This window comes from Homo sapiens, chromosome 8, assembly GCF_000001405.40.
Source record: "Homo sapiens chromosome 8, GRCh38.p14 Primary Assembly".
Lineage (NCBI taxonomy): Eukaryota > Metazoa > Chordata > Mammalia > Primates > Hominidae > Homo > Homo sapiens.
This window is the reverse complement of record NC_000008.11, coordinates 91,192,922-91,212,168: the sequence shown is the minus strand read 5'-3', so window position 1 is coordinate 91,212,168 and position 19,247 is coordinate 91,192,922. Positions and strand designations below refer to the sequence as shown.

Below are 19,247 nucleotides of genomic sequence, written 5' to 3'. Positions count from 1 at the left end.
TGTTTCAAAGATTTATATCATTAGTAGCTAATATTGAAATATCAACTACATTGAAATTATTGATCATTTTGTAATTGCTAAGGACTAATTCAACTTTGATGGCAGAACTATAGCATTTAGAAAAAGACAAAAGCATCTGGATTAATTATGATCAAGATTGATATTTGAGACTGAATAAAATTGTTTTGACTATTTTCCAATCCTCATCTCATTATTTCATTAAAGCAAGCATGACATAATTTTACATTCACCTGAATAGAAGCAATTACAACTTGATATTTGATTGTTCTGTGTTTTATGTTGAGAATAAAGACCCATTTATCATCCAGTGTCTCCCTCCTTTGAGTGTAAACCCCATAAGAAGCAGAACATTGTGTAAAGCACAACAGGGGCAACTAGACTTTGGCATTATCAAATATGTTCTCCCTTCCTGATAAAGTATTTGCTCTAAAGGTCAGCAGTCTCTAAGTTTAGTTTCTGAAGAGATAATTAACAAATTAAAAAAAATTTAACAGAAAGAGAGGCTTCCAAGCAAAAAAAATAAAAAAAAAATATATATATATATATATATATTTGTATAATTGCTGTCTACTTAACATAAAAATCTAGAGATATATAAAAGCAATTCCTTACCAGTGTGGTTAATCTGATTATCATCCCCAAGTATTCTGTGCATGTTTTCACTCTGTTTCAACTCTGGAAACAAGGAACTTATGAACGGCATTTAAATTTTTTTTAACTGCTAACATCTAGTAATATATATTCAAATCTCAATTTTCTTTATCAATCTTTAAATATTTTAAGCATCCTTAAATTTATTTAGCATGATTAACAAGCTGTATACACTTATTCTAATTCCATTGTGATATACTTTTTTACTATCATATACTTACTAGATATTATTAGCTTAATGATTTTAATAACGCTAGAATCCATGGTTTTTATAAAGCAAAACAATTTTCCTTTAAAAATTTTTTCTTCTTATAATTTTCTGACACTCCCATGGCTTTTGCCTATCAATGTATCTACACATATAAGTCTACATTTTGAGTTATTTTCCCTTAGTGCTTTGAAAATAGTATGCCATTGTTTTTTCTGGCATCTATTACTGTCACTGAGAAATCTGATGTCAGTTCATTGCTGCTGCTTTGTAGGTGATCTCTCTTTTCTTAACATTTCATCTTTAGCTCTCAATAGTTCAACTTTGGTGGTATATAGTTTTACCAAAATGTGTCTATGTATGGATTTGTTCTTGTTTGTTCTGCTTGGAACTCAATGTGCTTTTTCAATCTGAAATTGTCTTCTTTCAATATTTGAACATTTTCTGCCATTAGCTAGAACATTCAAAGGGTGTAGATCCTAGCTAATGGGTTTCTCTTTTAACCATTATGTTTTTAATCCATGCTATATTCTTATGCCATTATGTTGCTGTTTTTATAATGCCCTGACATATTTAATTCATAAAAATGTATTCTCTTTTAATTTTTAAAGTGAAATTATATAGATATCAAATCTCCTTATTTTCCTACTCTTGCTTCCAAGCTTGTTTCCTCAGTGATGATTGATGTTAACCTGTGTGTGTGTGTGTGTGTGTGTGTGTGTGTGTCTGTGTGTGTGTGTGTCTGTGTTTAAAATCCTGTAAGAAAGTTCTATCTATCTGACCTGAATGGTCAGTGGTTCTATTTTCTTACTCTGCAAGTCAACAGAAGGAAAGCCTCATCTCTCTTTCACATGACAGTGTTTCAAATATACAAAGATAGCTATTGGGAGTAATGGTATCATCATCAATCAATAAATTTATTTGCACTTTCTCTTATGATTCAAAATGAAATTGTGCATGTTCTAGTGCAGGAAAAAAGAGACAGAAGGTGGTATCAGGAGGTGTCAGGTAAGCTAAAGTCCTAATTCTATTATTTGATAGATTTGAAATTTGTGAACAAACTACTTAACTTTGCTTAGTCTTAGTTACCTCAACTGTGAATAGAGACAATGAAAACCAAGTCACAAAGTTAATATGAGGGCCAGAAACTCTATTACTTAAATGTCACCCCCTGGGAAATTTACCTTTTAGCCTCCACCAAAGTCGTTGTTGGTTCTGTCTATGACTCCATAGTATGGGTATATAATGCTTTATGACAATGCTTCTAACGTTACATTTTAATAGTCTGTGATCTCCTCAATAGCATGAACTGCATCTTATTCATCTTTGGATCCAGAGAGCTTAGCATAGTACCTTGCATATAGTAAGAACTCAGTAAAGATGTTGAAAGAAAAAAATATGTAAAAAGCATTTTGTAAGTGGAAAAGCACTACCATTACCCATCTTCTAGTTGTTTAAAACCTTTCATATCTCCTCTTCTTGGCTTACTCATTCCCTTAACATGATGGAATAGATAAGGTTCATCATGCAGTAACAAAATTCTATTAAAAATTCTACTAATTTTTTAAAGTAGCAGTACCTAATCACAGCATTAAACTCTTCCTGAATTGGTGTACAAGACAGACTAATTTTACATCCTCCTTACTAGCTCTTTCCACAGCCTACAACCATGCACATATCTTCCCATTTTCAAAATTTTTCTTCAAGCCTTCCTCACGTCCAAAGAATATTCTATAGCACTCCTACCTTTTACAGCTACATTGCTTGGAGATTAGTCAAGACTTGCTGGCTTCACTTCCGTATTCTTACCAGGCTTTTTTATTTATTTATTTATTTATTTATTTATTTATTGAGACATAGTTTCACTCTTGTTGCCAGGCTGCAGTGCAAGTGCAATGGCGTGATCTCGGCTCACTACAACCTCTGCCTGCTGGCTTCAAGTGCTTCTCCTGCCTCCTCAGTCTCCCGAGTAGCTGGGATTACAGGTGCCCACCACCATGTCTGGCTAATTTTTTTGTGTTTTTAGTAGAGACGAGGTTTCACCATGTTGGTCAGGCTGGTCTCAAATTCCTGACCTCAGGTGATCCGCCCGCCTCGGCCTCGCAGAATGCTGGGATTACAGGCATGAGCCACCACGCCTGGCCCCATCAGGCTTCTTATCGATGCAACCTGCTTCCAGCCCTGCCACTTAATGACACAAAGGACACCACCTTCCTCTTTTGATTTTTCAGTGCTGTTTCTTCTCCTCAGCCCTGGATCTGTCAACTTGGTGTCTTTAGTCAGCTCATTCTTGAGCCCATATTAGAGTAAGAGAGCAGCCAAAATTTTCTTATGCCCAGAGAATAGTGTAGAAGTGGTTGAAAGAGAACCAGCAAACAAAAGGGACTTCAACATCAGAACAAGAAGACACAGGGTACATGGAAGAAGAAGCATGACCAATGGGAAGTAGACACTACCACGGAGCTTCGATCTAGATAGGAAGATCACACACCAGAGGATGCCCACATGAAACAGGACATTGGCAGAACATATGGCTCCTACCTCCTAATACCATGACACTACTTAAAAACTCCAAGAATTAGATAATATAGGCAGAAAGGAAGGGAAGGAAATTCTAAGTGATCAAGATAAAATCTGAAATGACTTAGGAAATCCTAAAATTACCACATAAGCCTTGAATTAACTAGGTAAACTTTCCAGTAGAATGGGGCCCAAATAAAAGCTAAGTTCAGTGGAAGAAAAAGCAAGAAAGCCCTGTTTATTGTGCATCTGTGTTTTATAGCTGAAGAATTTGTGCCACTCTCCCTGTTTTGCCCTTCTGTCCCTGAATGTTTCTTTTCATTCTCATTTGCTGACTCCTGCTTTTGCCACCTTTTAATAATATTGCCCTCCAAGGTTCTGTCCTTCTGGTCTTCTCACCCTACTGAGTAGATCTCCTTAGGTAATCTTCATTCCCAGGGCTTCGAGTGTCTCACTTATATAAACAATTTTTAAATCCACATCACCAGGTCTAGCCTCTCTTTGTCAAGCAAAAATGTCATCATACCCCACTACTTCAACAACTCTAAGTAGCTGTTACGGGCTAAACTGTGTCACCCAAAAATCCATATGTCTTAAACCCCAGTATCTCCGAATGTCACTGTATTTGGAGATAGGGTCTTTAAAGTGTTACTTAGGTTAAAATGAAGTCAAATAAAGTGAGCTCTAATCCAATATGACTGACATCCTTATGAGAAGAGGAAATTTGGACACAGACATGTACCAAAGGAAGACCATGTGAAGACACAGGAAAGAGCCAGCCATGTAGAGGCCGAAAAGAGAGGCTGCAGGAGAAGCCAACCCCTCCTGGCACCTTGCTCTCAGACTTCTAGCCTCCAGAATTGTTAATAAATCAATTCCTGTTGTGTAAGCCACCCAGTCTGTGATACTTTGTTATACAGCCCTAGCAACTTATACACTAGCTTTTGAAATTAAGCTCAAACTTCACATAAAAGAGTCACTGTAACCCACACTGCTGTTTTCTCCAACTTCATCTCTCATACCTCACCTTCCGTGACTTCACTGTACACATTGTGCAATTTATATTTGCACAATATTAACTCTGCACAGGCAACTGCCTAGCCTGAAATGCTTATCCACTAGTTCTTTATCTATTCTAAATGCCTCCCTAGCCTTCAAAGCACATTTCTAAGAAATGCCTCTTAAAGTAACTTAACATTTATTATGGATTCGCCAAACACAATCACTGTGGTAGGCACCAGGGTTAAACCAGGGACTATCCCATTTACTGGAGATGCCTTCTTCTCACAGCATCCTGTGCAGCTTCACATCTGCTTATCACAAGAATGCAATCATTCTCTCTTTCTTGTCTGAAAGCCTTGGTTTACAAAACACACACATAAAAAAAAATACTTATTAAGCACCTACTATATGCTACCTTTGTTGAACACCCACTGTACTAAGCACTGTTTATGCATTACCTCATGATCCCTAGCCACAGTTCTGTGTGATGGGTATTATTATTATTGCCATTTGACAGGATGAGGAAGCTTAGCCTTGAAGAGGGAAGTAACAGGACACAGGTGGCAAGTGGTAGGGCTGGACATCAAACCTAACTTGTCAGATTCCAATCCTTATTATCCCACTTCTCCTGGGAACATGTGAGTTTCTCAAGGATCAGGGTTCTGTATTCCCAGCCCTGGCAAATAATCTGACACACAGTTAGAAAAAAATAAATAAGTTTCAGTGGATAAATAAATGAGGACAGAAGAAGGATCTTTAACATAAATGTCTTAAGTTCAGCTGAAGTAAATGGGGAATAACTAGGTTGGAAAAGCATAGGAAACATAGCCCAGACTCTCTGGTTAAGGATCAGGAATAACATGTATGAGTTCCCTGCCCATATCCTCTACTTGGCAGCTTTCTGAAATTGGCAAAATTACTTGGTTTCTCCTTGCCTTGGATTTCTTACTGGTGTCATGGGGTTATTTTGGACATTAATTGAGGTATTCCAGGTGACATATTTAGCAGAGCACCAGATGCACACTCAGTACCAAATAAATTCTGGCTGTTGTTGCTTGTATTAGGTTGTAGTTTCTGAAAGAGAGACATGAAATAAGAGTAGCAGCACATCAGATGGTTTTGAGAGGGAATCTGTCAGAGCACAATTAAACATGGCAACTTGTCTAAGGTGTTCAGAACATCACCAGTGGAAAGCAGGATGTTTTGAAAACTGTTTCCGAGTAATCTGACACGCTGTACTCATTAAATGTCTCTTGAATATAACAATCCATTCCAGATGATAATGTGAACAATTCACAGATAGCTACATATGTGATCAAGATTACATATTTACTCCCATCTTGAGGACCAACATACATTTCTATCCTCATTTTCCCACCGATGAGCTGTCTTTTCTCTTTGTATTTAAGGTCCAGCTGGTTTTAACTTTCAAATTCCTGCTCAACCACTATTTTAATGTTCTCTTTGGCTATCTGTTTAGTTCTAGATTCTGGGCTTTTAAAAATTTTAACATTAGCCTTCCTTGGCAGCACCTTTGCCAGATTTTTCTTATGATACATAGAGATGTAATATGTTGACAAACTAATTAAAGGAGGAGCTGGTATTCAAATCCAGATCTGATTTATCATTCTGTAGAAATAAAATTTTATCAGGTATTGTCCGAAGCTCTCTCTCTATAAAGGTGAACAAAACCAAAATGGTTCTTAAATTCCTTGAGCTTAGTATTCAGTGGTAGAGACAGACACCAACACCAAGTAAATCGATTACTACAAATTTTGCTAAATGCCATGAAGACTTCAAAGCTTTCTGATATAAACACCAACTCAACTTTGACAAAGACATTTCCATAGCAAGAGCATCAAGGTATTGAAAAACTGAACAACTTAAATCACTGTTTCTTATTCATAGAGAACTTTTATAGGCAACCACTACACTAAAGCCCAATATACATGTAACTGAGATGAGAATGATTTCTCTGATTAGATTCTTCCACTTTTATTTTTTTGTCTTAAGCACACATGGTTATGTCTAGTAAGACATAATTTGTACATGACTGGATCAAGAGGAAAACACTTCTAGCCTTCCTTTTAGTCTCCCAATTCACATGCAACATTTTACAATACTTGGCAGTGTCAAAAACTCTGGTAAAGGACATTGTGAGAAAAATTGTAGTAGCTCTACACCACAACCACAGCTGATTTAGGTCTTTTACTCTGGACTAGCTCTGTGGATCCTGTCTATCAGGCTGTCTGTCAGGATCCACAGAGCTAGTTCAGAGTAAATACCTGATATCAGGTGACGTGAATACCTGGCATCAGGTGATGTGTAAATACCTGACATCAGGTGATGTGAACTCTGATGACTGTTCCTGGATTTCATTCTACAGGATTATAAATGAACTACGTAAAGCAGCTGTTGTAAAATCTGTACTCTGCTTCTTGGAAAGTAAACAGGCCAGTAACGTGAGCCTCCATGTCCTAAGCGTGGGTTAGTATAGCTAAAATAACCTACATATTTTCTGGCTCATATATTGTGTTATCCACTGTAACTCTTGATAAAATCTCTCTACTTGGTATGAAGGATAGCTTTATTTATCCATTCATTCATTCATTCATATTTTTTATAATTCGAATCTATTCTTCTATTTTTGCCCTGAAAAGTAATAATACAATCTTTCTAGGTAGGCTACATTCTTGGCTTGTGTCAATATCAAATTTGTTTTGGACAAGATGCATCCTGAAAGGCAAAAAACAGTAACAGATAAGGCCAATGGAAAAAAATATTAAAAATCGGCAACTCTAGGTAAAGGGTATACAAATGTTCATTGTATTATTCATTCAAGTTATGTGTTGTTTTCCAATTTCTCAAACTAAAAAGTTGGTGGAAAAAAAGTTGTCCTTGTTGAACCTCATGATGAACAACACATATAGTGAAGTTCATGAAAGAAAGTTTCACAATTACAGTTTTGAGAAAGATAATGTATCTCTGAACCTAAGTAGTGATGATCTCATCCAGGAGTTAGAAATGTAAGCTTATGAAACAACTAATAATGCTAGTAAGAATACATTATCAGCATTCACATGCACTCATCGATTGTCCCTGGGGAGGCCATGGGCTGTGAAAGGCGAAAGGCCTAATCCAGGCTCTGGAGATCCTTGGGAACATAGCATACTTGTATGCAGGAGCCTTTGTTCTGCTTACAGTGGAGTAAAGTGAAAGACTTTCAGCATAGGGTCCAAGAAGCAGACTGACAGAGCAAACTCTACAGTGTGCCTGAAGGCAGCCATAGTAAGAATTCTCCCCAGCATAGAGGCCATATTAAGGTGTTTGTCATCTTCCAGTGCTCCACAGTGGATTTACTCCTTCACCAACACCTCCTTTTCTTTTTTCACTATTAGCTGTACTACACCTTTGTCACTAACAATTCATTAATTCATATATTCAACCAATGAATATTCATTCAACTTTTTTTATATTCAACTTTTTGTTATGTGTGAGAAACCACATAGGCCTTGCTTAGTAAGGTGTGTAAGACACAACCATTTCCCTGTGGTACTGGGACAGCCCTAAACAGGGAGAGCAGAGATTCTCAGCCCTGACTGCACATGAAAATCAACTAGAAATCTTTTTTTTTTTTTTTTTTTTGAGATGGAGTCTTTCTCTGTTGCCCAGGCTGGAGTGCAGTGGCACGATCTCGGCTCACTGCAAGCTGCTCCTCCTGGGTTCACACCATTTTCCTGCCTCAGCATCCCAAGTAGCTGGGACTATAGGTGCCCGCCACCACACCCGGCTAATTTTTTGTATTTTTTTTAGTAGAGACGGGGTTTCACTGTGTTAGCCAGGATGGTCTCGATCTCCTGACCTCGTGATCTGCCCGCCTCAGCCTCCGAAAGTGCTGGGATTACAGGCGTGAGCCACCGTGCCCGGCTAGAAATCTTCATAAAAATGTGGATGCTCAGGATCCTACTGCTACAGACTCTGATTTAGTAGTTCTAGGGTAGGATAATCTGTATTTTTTAAAAGATTCTTTGGTAAATTTGGTGAGTGGCTAGTGATAAGATACACTGAGGCTGGGCGCAGTGGCTTACGCTTGTAATCCCAGCACTTTGGGAGGCCAAGGCAGGCAGATCACCTGAGATCAGGAGTTCGAGACAAGCCTGGCCAACATGGTAAAACCCCATCTCTACTAAAAATACACACACAAAAAAAAGCCAGGTGTGGTGGTGGCCACCTGTAATCCCAGCTACTTGAGAGGCCGAGGCAGGAGAATTGCTTGAACACAGGAGATGGAGGTTGCAGTGAACCAAGATCACCACCACTGCACTTTAGGCTGGGTGACAGAGCCAGACTTTGTCTCGGAAAGAAAAAAAAAAAAAGATAGGTATAAGCATATTCACAACTCAGATCCTTTATTGGCACAAAGACTACTGGAGCATAATGATACCCTAAATCACTTGAACAACAGGATTTAGAATCAAACTCTTTAGAGATAGAGATGATGTTAGAGGTCACATATCTAGTTCCCTACCAAAATCTTCCCACCCACCCACACACACACTCACAGCTAACAATGAGTCCTAGACTTCCCAGCATGCCTAACAGACTAGATAGGAGTCTATAGCTTCCAGGTTGCTCAGGCTCCCAGATTTTGCAGGAGTCTCATACTTAACCATGTGCAAAAACAGAACTTCTATCTCTCCCCAACAAGCCTACTTCTCCCTTAGTCTTCCCTATTTTAGTAATAAAAAAAAAATCTGCTTTACACAGTTCTGTAGGCCAAAAAAACCTGGAAATCTAAGTCTTATCACTTCTTTCTCCAAGATGCATCTTCAATCCATAATTTCCCTCCATTGCCACTGCGATCATCATCTCTCAGCTGGTCTAGTGCAAATAGCCTACTGCCTAATCTCACTTCCTTGCCCTCTAATTCATTCTCTATGCAGATGTTATATTGTTAAAATGTAAATTAGGATATACCACTCTTTTACTTAAAATTCCTCAAATGTGTCTCATCACATATTAAATAGAAGCCAAATTCCTAATGTAAACTACGTGGTATTTTGTGATCTCACTCCTGCCTATCTCAACTCTCCTAGTCAATTAATACTTTCTAATCACACTGAACCATTTTTCAGTTCCTCGAATCAAAAAGTGATTTCCCATTAATACACACTGTTCCTACTGGAACAGTTTCCTGGAAACACTCTTCCACAATTCTACCTGACCTTCTTTACCTTTGAGGTGTCATTTAAAATATCATTTCCTCTGTGAAGACTTCCCTTATCCCAGATTTAAAGAAGGGCTTCCCTGATACTCTTCCTTGTGAAACCCATTGGTTATGGGCTGAATTGTGTTTCTGCCAAAATTCATATGTTGAAGTCCTAACATCCAGTGCCCCCAAAAGTCACCTTGTTTGGAAATAGGGCCTTTACCAAGATGATCAAATTAAATGACACCTGATTTTAAACTTCTAGCCTCTACAACTGTGAGACAATACATTTCTCTTGTTTTCTTTTGTTTGTTTGTTTGTTGTGTTTTTGTTTTTGTTTTTGTTTTTGTTTTAGACAGAGTCTCGCTCTGTTGCCTAGGCTGGAGTGCAGTGGTGCAATCTCGGTTAACTACAACCTCTGCCTCCCAGATTCAAGTGATTCTCCTGTCTCAGTCTCCCAAGAAGCTGGGATTACAGGCGCCCATCACCACACCCAGGTAATTTTTGTATTTTTAGTAGAGATGTGATTTTATCATATTGGCCAGACTGGTCTCAAACTCCTGACCTCAGGTGATCCACCCACCTCGACTTCACAAAGTGCTGGGATTACAGGTGTGAGCCACCGCACCCAGCCTAAATTTCTCTTGTTTTAAGCCACCTAGTTTGTAGTACTTCGTTAGGTCAGCCCTAGCAAACTAATATACCATTCTTTTATGTCATGTTAGTCACAATTTATGTTACATTTGTGTTTACTTATTTGTTTGTCTCCTTCACTAGATGACAATTTTCAGAATGGCAGAAACTGCAGCTGTTTTTATTAATTTATTTAAAATTATCCCCCAATATTATACTATGCTAGCCCAAGGAAGGCCAAGGGCTCACCAAGAGCAGAAAGGAATTCTGGTATTAAAAGCAAACATTAGACAGTCTAGAACAAGTGTGGGAAAACTATGGTCCCCAGGCCAAATTTGACCCACCTCCTGTTTTCATAAGACTTGTAAGCTAAGAAAGGTTTTCACATTTTTAAATGGTTGAAAAAAAAATCAAAATAAAATAATATTTCATGATATGTTAACATTATATGAAATTTAAATTCACAAGTAAAGTTTTATTAGAACACAGCTACACTCATGTACATATTATCTAGAGCTGCATTCATGCTACAAAGGAGAGTCAAGTAGTAGTCACACAGATCACACTGTCTATAAGGCCTAAAATATTTACTATCTGGCCGCTTAGAGAAAAAGGAGTTTGCTGAGCTCTGGTCTAGAACACGCCTTATGGGCTATGTGAACTGCCCTGGGATTCACAACTCCTGGGTAACATAATGTTGCAGGTGCACATTCATGCGTATTTAGTGTTCTAGAACACCATCATGATATAAACTAGCCAGCACATTCACCTTTTCTACACCAAGAATTCCATGACAGACTACTGACCAATTCTTCTTCTGAGAAGAATTTAGTTCTGGTTTTATTATTAATATTCATGAACAAAAGGGATTTACTGATTAAAAACTTTCAACTTTCATGAAATTTTGCTAGAATCCATGTATTTTGATAAATTTGGGAGTCTATGAATGTAAATAGAATGGGTGATGATGATTATTACCGACACTTATCCAAATTTGTCTATCCAAAATTTACAGTATACTATCCTATAAGCCAATCATAGGTACAAATCTAGTTAGTATTAACTGATTTAGATAAGAACAAAGGATAGGAATCAGTATTATGCTCATATTCGCATAAAAAGCATCATTTACCTTTGGTGGAGGAACAAATCGAACACATTCCAGCCATACGGTTATAAAGTACTGTCCACATATTGCACATGTTTTTCCCTGAGAGATCATGCTCCTGACTTGTGGGTACCGTTCTATGTCATCCATTAGGAAAGGGTTATTTTCTGCTAGCTGATTCATTACAAATCTTGATGTTATTTCCTAAATTGAAAAAAAAAATACAGTTCCTCAGATTGTTTTCAAAACTATTTTACATTACATTGATTTCCATTTCATTAGATAAAGTGTATGGCTTATTATCTAGATTCTGTTAAATTAAGATTCTGCAGTGTATCTAATGAATTGTGTTGTAAATGACTGGCATTGCAAATAAGTTTGGTTTTCATCAATATAAGAACAATAAGTTTCTTACATTGTCGTATTTCTACATCTCTTACATATAGGAATCCAAGTCGTAATACATTTGCATTACACATTTTATAAAGTTAGATACAGTTTAGGTTTAAATCTGGCACCTCTCATTACAATAAGCAAAAACTGTACAAACATTCAGACTGGATTCAAAAATGAATTTTGTCATGTTCACTAAGGTCTAAATCCTAACTACTTGAACTGTGGTTCACAGACTGCATCACATGGGAGCTTATTAGATATGCAGAATGTCAGACACACTCCAGACCTACTGAATCAAAATCTGCAATTTAACTAGTTCCTCAGGTAATCTATACGCATATTGAAATTTGAGAAGCACTGGTCTAAATTCCTTGCTGCACTGAGAACCTGAATAGTGCCATCAAAAAAGCAATGATTTCTAGGAACCAAATATGTGAATTTAATCTCAGTTAAACCTATCTACCTAGATATGTTCAGAAAATTGACTTGCAATAATAATAATAAAATACTAAATAATAAAGGGAGGAAGTAAGAAAATGGAAGTTGCCTTTCATTAGGGCTATCATCTTAATAAAAATATATTACATAATGCATAAAATTAAATCTTCACTGACCAAGCAAAGAAAATAAATAAACATTTGCCTGAATCCATTAAATTTTCTCCATTGTTTTTGTCAGTAGCATGGAAGTCCTGTATAAATGTTACACAAACACTGCTTGAAATTTTAACAGTGTTTGGGGATGATTTATTTGGTACTTTTTTTTCCCAACAAAAGTGAAAGATTTCCCAGTAGTATTGAAATAGTCCACATAAAGCTTGGATAGGAATTTTTGAAAATACATATATACACACATAATCTTTCATGCATTCTCCCCATGCATGAAATTAATTTAATTTTAAAGAAATTAAATTATTTAAAAACTTAAAAAATAACAGCAAAATCTTATAAATTGCTGTGTCCATTTCCTATTATCCTATCCCTCCCAATAAACAAGCACCCGAGAAAGCTGCCTTTATACAGTAAACAGCCCTGAGCATGGATTCTTTATTTGTCTGATCGTTCAACAGCACAACCTCCTACCCACTTAAGCTCATTCTCCTGGGTGGTTGCATGACTGAGGTCATGCTTTCACACTAATATTACAAGGGTGCCTAAATCAGATGTTTATTTTCACCCTTTCTCCAACTACTTAAGCAGATCATAGCTTGTGATTCTTAAATAAATACTGATTTTATAGGTGGGCTTTTAGCTACACGAATTCAATGGCCAAGTCTTATTATAAAGCTGTAGAAAACTCATGGATAAGGATTCACTACCCAAAATAGCAGATGACAGAAGCATTTGCTGAAATACCAGGGACCTAAAAATAGGTTCATATAGATCACTTTTTCCATTTATGATTTCTGGACCCAAACATGTTTGTTGCACTCAGTATATCTGACAGCTCTTACATCAACTATTATTTATATTTTTCTTTTACTTATTGCCAATGTGTTATTTTGGAAGGATAGCATACACCATTAAAATATAAAGTTCTTACTTGGAAATGTGAGTATATATAAAATAAAATACTATTGGCATGACCAATAGTATCTTTTAGGACATCTCTTAGAGATGCATTCAGTGCAATTTTTGAGAGTATACAATTTAATGATGGTCTAATTCCAGTGTTATTTAAAAGTCAAGAAATCTTTTATAGACCAAAGTGGTCTATAAAAATATTTCAAAATACTCAAATTGCTCCTTTTAGATAGCTTATATGCTATTTTCTTAGAATATTTGTAAGTTAATTATAATTCATCATAAATGAAATTGATTTTATATGTCCTACATTTTCCTTATAATTTTTGAGTTATTAAATTATACACATAAAAATTATATAATATGAAAAACATAAAATGTAAAAACAAATATGAATCCTTAGGAGTGATACATTTTGGAACTATTGTATACTCAGGTGTTACTATGTGTATGATAAGCACTAAAACGTAGCATCAAGAGCAAAAATTCAAAGTCTGAGACAAATACATGCATAGGTGTAAATTCTGGCTCTATGACTTATTTGCTGTGTGGTCATATTTGGATGAACCCTTAACTTCCCTGGTCTTGAACACCTCATCTGTAAAGTTGGGATTTTTTTCCAATACTATCACAAAGAGTTTGGAGAATTAAATTACATAAAAACGGTAAACCATTTAGCCTGGCATCTACTAATGCAGTATATTCCCGCTAATATTTTTCTATAATATAGTTATTAGCAATAAATTTTACTTCATAAATCTCTGAGGTGAGGTAAAGTTTCTAAAATCTTTACCAAGGCATAACCCATATCATAGTTCCTAGAATTCTTTGACACAGCAAGTACTTTAATCAGTAACATTGACTAAATGCCCAGTAGAAATAACTCTTACTTTAAGTACAAATCAATTTAAGTCACTTTTCTGAGAAGAATTCTTAGGGATACTCTTAAAACTACACACATCATTTACATATTACAGGCATAGATAGCTACTTCCACTAAACACATTGTAAAAATTAACTTTTGGAGACGGGAGGAGCCAAGATGGCCGAATAGGAACAGCTCCAGTCTACAGCTCCCACCGTGAGCGACACAGAAGACGGGTGATTTCTGCATTTCCATCTGAGGTACCGGGTTCATCTCACTAGGGAGTGCCAGACAGTGGGCGCCGGTCAGTGGGTGCGCGCACCGTGCGCGAGCCGAAGCAGGGTGAGGCATTGCCTCACTCGGGAAGCGCAAGGGGTCAGGGAGTTCCCTTTCCTAGTCAAAGAAAGGGGTGTCGGACGGCATCTGGAAAATCGGGTCACTCCCACCCTAATACTGCGCTTTTCCGACGGGCTTAAAAAACGGCGCACCACGAGATAATATCCCGCACCTGGCTCGGAGGGTCCTACGCCCACGGAGTCTCGCTGATTGCTAGCACAGCAGTCTGAGATCAAACTGCGAGGCGGCAGCGAGGCTGGGGGAGGGGCGCCCGCCATTGGCCAGGCTTGATTAGGTAAACAAAGCAGCCGGGGAAGCTCGAACTGGGTGGAGCCCACCACAGCTCCAGGAGGCCTGCCTGCCTCTGTAGGCTCCACCTCTGGGGGCAGGGCACAGACAAACAAAAAGACAGCAGTAACCTCTGCAGACTTAAATGTCCCTGTCTGACAGCTTTGAAGAGAGCAGTGGTTCTCCCAGCACGCGGCTGGAGATCTGAGAATGGGCGGACTGCCTCCTCAAGTGGGTCCCTGACCCCTGACCCCCGAGTAGCCTAACTGGGAGGCACCCCCCAGCAGGGGCACACTGACACCTCACACCGCAGGGTACTCCAACAGACCTGCAGCTGAGGGTCCTGTCTGTTAGAAGGAAAACTAACAAACAGAAAGGACATCCACACCAAAAACCCATCTGTACATCACCATCATCAAAGACCAAAAGTAGATAAAACCACAAAGATGGGGAAAAAACAGAACAGAAAAACTGGAAACTCTAAAACGCAGAGCGCCTCTCCTCCTCCAAAGGAACGCAGTGCCTCACCAGCAATGGAACAAAGCTGGACGGAGAACAACTTTGACAAGCTGAGAGAAGGCTTCAGACGATCAAATTACTCTGAGCTACGGGAGGACATTCAAACCAAAGGCAAAGAAGTTGAAAACTTTGAAAAAAATTTAGAAGAATGTATAACTAGAATAACCAATACAGAGAAGTGCTTAAAGGAGCTGATGGAGCTGAAAACCAAGGCTCGAGAACTACGGGAAGAATGCAGAAGCCTCAGGAGCTGATGCGATCAACTGGAAGAAAGGGTATCAGCGATGGAAGATGAAATGAATGAAATGAAGCAAGAAGGGAAGTTTAGAGAAAAAAGAATAAAAAGAAATGAGCAAACCCTCCAAGAAATATGGGACTATGTGAAAAGACCAAATCTACGTCTGCTTGGTGTACCTGAAAGTGATGGGGAGAATGGAACCAAGTTGGAAAACACTCTGCAGGATATTATCCAGGAGAACTTCCCCAATCTAGCAAGGCAGGCCAACGTTCAGATTCAGGAAATACAGAGAACACAACAAAGATACTCCTCGAGAAGAGCAACTCCAAGACACATAATTGTCAGATTCACCAAACTTGAAATGAAGGAAAAAATGTTAAGGGCAGCCAGAGAGAAAGGTCGGGTTACCCTCAAAGGGAAGCCCATCAGACTAACAGCAGATCTCTCGGGAGAAACCCTACAAGCCAGAAGAGAGTGGGGGCCAATATTCAACATTCTTAAAGAAAAGAATTTTCAACCCAGAATTTCATATCCAGCCAAACTAAGCTTCATAAGTGAAGGAGAAATAAAATACTTTACAGACAAGCAAATGCTGAGAGATTTTGTCACTACAAGGCCTGCCCTAAAAGAGCTCCTGAAGGAAGCGCTAAACATGGAAAGGAACAACTGGTACCAGCCGCTGCAAAATCATGCCAAAATGTAAAGACCATCAGGACTAGGAAGAAACTGCATCAACTAATGAGCAAAATAACCAGCTAACATCATCATGACAGGATCAAATTCACACATAACAATATTAACTTTAAATGTAAATGGACTAAATGCTCCAATTAAAAGACACAGACTGGCAAATTGGATAAAGAGTCAAGACCCATCAGTGTGCTGTATTCAGGAAACCCATCTCACGTGCAGAGACACACATAGGCTCAAAATAAAAGGATGCAGGAAGATCTTCCAAGCAAATGGAAAACAGAAAAAGGCAGGGGTTGCAATCCTAGTCTCTGATAAAACAGACTTTAAACCAATAAAGATCAAAAGAGACAAAGAAGGCCATTACATAATGGTAAAGGGATCAATTCAACAAGAAGAGCTAACTATCCTAAATATATATGCACCCAATACAGGAGCACCCAGATTCATAAAGCAAGTCCTGAGTGACCTACAAAGAGACTTAGACTCCTACACATTAATAATGGGAGACTTTAACACCCCACTGTCAACATTAGACAGATCAACAAGACAGAAAGTCAACAAGGATACCCAGGAATTGAACTCAGCTCTGCACCAAGCGGACCTAATAGACATCTACAGAACTCTCCACCCCAAATCAACAGAATATACATTTTTTTCAGCACCACACCACACCTATTCCAAAATTGACCACACACTTGGAAGTAAAGCTCTCCTCAGCAAATGTAAAAGAACAGAAATTATAACAAACTATCTCTCAGACCACAGTGCAATCAAACTAGAACTCAGGATTAAGAATCTCACTCAAAACCGCTCAACTACATGGAAACTGAACAACCTGCTCTTGAATGACTACTGGGTACATAACAAAATGAAGGCAGAAATAAAGATGTTCTTTGAAACCAATGAGAACAAAGACACAACATACCAGAATCTCTGGGACACATGCAAAGCACTGTGTAGAGGGAAATTTATAGCAATAAATGCCCACAAGACAAAGCAGGAAAGATCCAAAATTGACACCCTAACATCACAATTAAAAGAACTAGAAAAGCAAGAGCAAACACATTCAAAAGCTAGCAGAAGGCAAGAAATAACTAAAATCAGAGCAGAACTGAAGGAAATACAGACACAAAAAACCCTTCAAAAAATTAATGAATCCAGGAGCTGGTTTTTTGAAAGGATCAACAAAATAGATAGACCACTAGCAAGACTAATAAAGAAAAAAAGAAGAATCAAATAGACGCAATAAAAAATGATAAAGGGGATATCATCACCGATCCCACAGAAATACAAACTACCATCAGAGAATACTACAAACACCTCTACGCAAATAAACTAGAAAATCTAGAAGAAATGGATAAATTCCTCGACACATACACTCTCCCAAGACTAAACCAGGAAGAAGTTGAATCTCTGAATAGACCAATAACAGGATCTGAAATTGTGGCAATAATCAATAGCTTACTAACCAAAAAGAGTCCAGGACCAGATGGATTCACAGCCGAATTCTACCAGAGGTACAAGGAGGAACTGGTACCATTCCTTCTGAAACTATTCCAATCAATAAAACAATAGAGAATCCTCCCTAACTCATTTTATGAGGCCAGCATCATTCTGATACCAAAGCCTGGCAGAGACACAACCAAAAAAGAGAATTTTAGACCAATATCCTTGATGAACATTGATGCAAAAATCCTCAATAAAATACTGGCAAACCGAATCCAGCAGCACATCAAAAAGCTTATCCCCCATGATCAAGTGGGCTTCATCCCTGGGATGCAAGGCTGGTTCAATATACGCAAATCAATAAATGTAATCCAGCATATAAACAGAGCCAAAGACAAAAACCACGATTATCTCAATAGATGCAGAAAAGGCCTTTGACAAAATTCAACAACCTTTCATGCTAAAAACTCTCAATAAATTAGGTATTGATGGGACGTATTTCAAAATAATAAGAGCTATCTATGACAAACCCACAGCCAATATCATACTGAATGGGCAAAAACTGGAAGCATTCCCTTTGAAAACTGGCACAAGACAGGGGTGCCCTCTCTCACCACTCCTATTCAACATAGTGTTGGAAGTTCTGGCCAGGGCAATTAGGCAGGAGAAGGAAATAAAGGGTATTCAATTAGGAAAAGAGGAAGTCAAATTGTCCCTGTTTGCAGACGACATGATTGTATAACTAGAAAACCCCATTGTCTCAGCCCAAAATCTCCTTAAGCTGATAAGCAACTTCAGCAAAGTCTCAGGATACAAAATCAATGTACAAAAATCACAAGCATTCTTATACACCAACAACAGACAAACAGAGAGCCAAATCATGAGTGAACTCCCATTCACAATTGCTTCAAAGAGAATAAAATACCTAGGAATCCAACTTACAAGGGATGTGAAGGACCTCTTCAAGGAGAACTACAAACCACTGCTCAAGGAAATAAAAGAGGATACAAACAAATGGAAGAACATTCCATGCTCATGGGTAGGAAGAATCAATATCGTGAAAATGGCCATACTACCCAAGGTAATTTACAGATTCAATGCCATCCCCATCAAGCTACCAATGCCTTTCTTCACAGAATTGGAAAAAACTACTTTAAAGTTCATATGGAACCAAAAAAGAGCCCGCATGGCCAAGTCAATCCTAAGCCAAAAGAACAAAGCTGGAGGCATCACACTACCTGACTTCAAACTATACTACAAGGCTACAGTAACCAAAACAGCATGGTACTGGTACCAAAACAGAGATATAGATCAATGGAACAGAACAGAGCCCTCAGAAATAACGCCGCATATCTACAACTATCTGATCTTTGACAAACCTGAGAAAAACAAGCAATGGGGAAAGGATTCCCTATTTAATAAATGGTGCTGGGAAAACTGGCTAGCCATATGTAGAAAGCTGAAACTGGATCCCTTCCTTACACCTTATACAAAAATCAATTCAAGATGGATTAAAGACTTAAACGTTAGATCTAAAACCGTAAAAAACCCTAGAAGAAAACCTAGGCAATACCATTCAGGACATAGGCTT

The 19,247-nt window shown here is 38.1% G+C and overlaps 2 protein-coding genes and 1 non-coding gene across 6 annotated transcripts in view, besides 1 other annotated feature; all 3 read right to left on the bottom strand.

The window, feature by feature from the left end:
• SLC26A7 (solute carrier family 26 member 7) overlaps positions 1-2,673 on the bottom strand; it is a 188,660-nt gene extending 185,987 nt beyond the window's left edge. For both annotated transcript variants that reach the window (NM_001282356.2, NM_001282357.2), the window contains exon 1: positions 2,627-2,673. The gene's annotated coding sequence lies outside the window, so the exon portion shown is untranslated. The remainder of the gene's footprint in view (positions 1-2,626) is intronic.
• Positions 1-19,247, bottom strand: part of LRRC69 (leucine rich repeat containing 69) — a 116,639-nt gene that overhangs the window by 7,089 nt on the left and 90,303 nt on the right. For 2 of the 3 annotated variants that reach the window (NM_001129890.2, NM_001354470.2), the window contains one exon: positions 11,377-11,556. In NM_001129890.2, coding sequence (NP_001123362.1) covers positions 11,377-11,556 — 180 coding nt within the window. Of the gene's footprint in view, positions 1-5,337; positions 5,477-11,376; positions 11,557-19,247 lie in introns of all 3 variants that reach the window. The other variant, NR_148895.2, reaches the window with a different exon arrangement.
• MIR4661 (microRNA 4661) lies at positions 6,610-6,684 on the bottom strand. The gene has a single exon (NR_039805.1). It is a non-coding gene; the product is annotated as a microRNA 4661 (primary transcript).
• Positions 14,511-15,020: an enhancer, noted in NCBI's record as "H3K27ac-H3K4me1 hESC enhancer chr8:92209377-92209886 (GRCh37/hg19 assembly coordinates)". NCBI's record gives its function as "activates a minimal SCP1, AML or CMV promoter by ChIP-STARR-seq in naive and primed H9 embryonic stem cells {active_cell/tissue: H9 hESC(naive and primed)}" and the evidence as "EXISTENCE:reporter gene assay evidence [ECO:0000049][PMID:30033119]".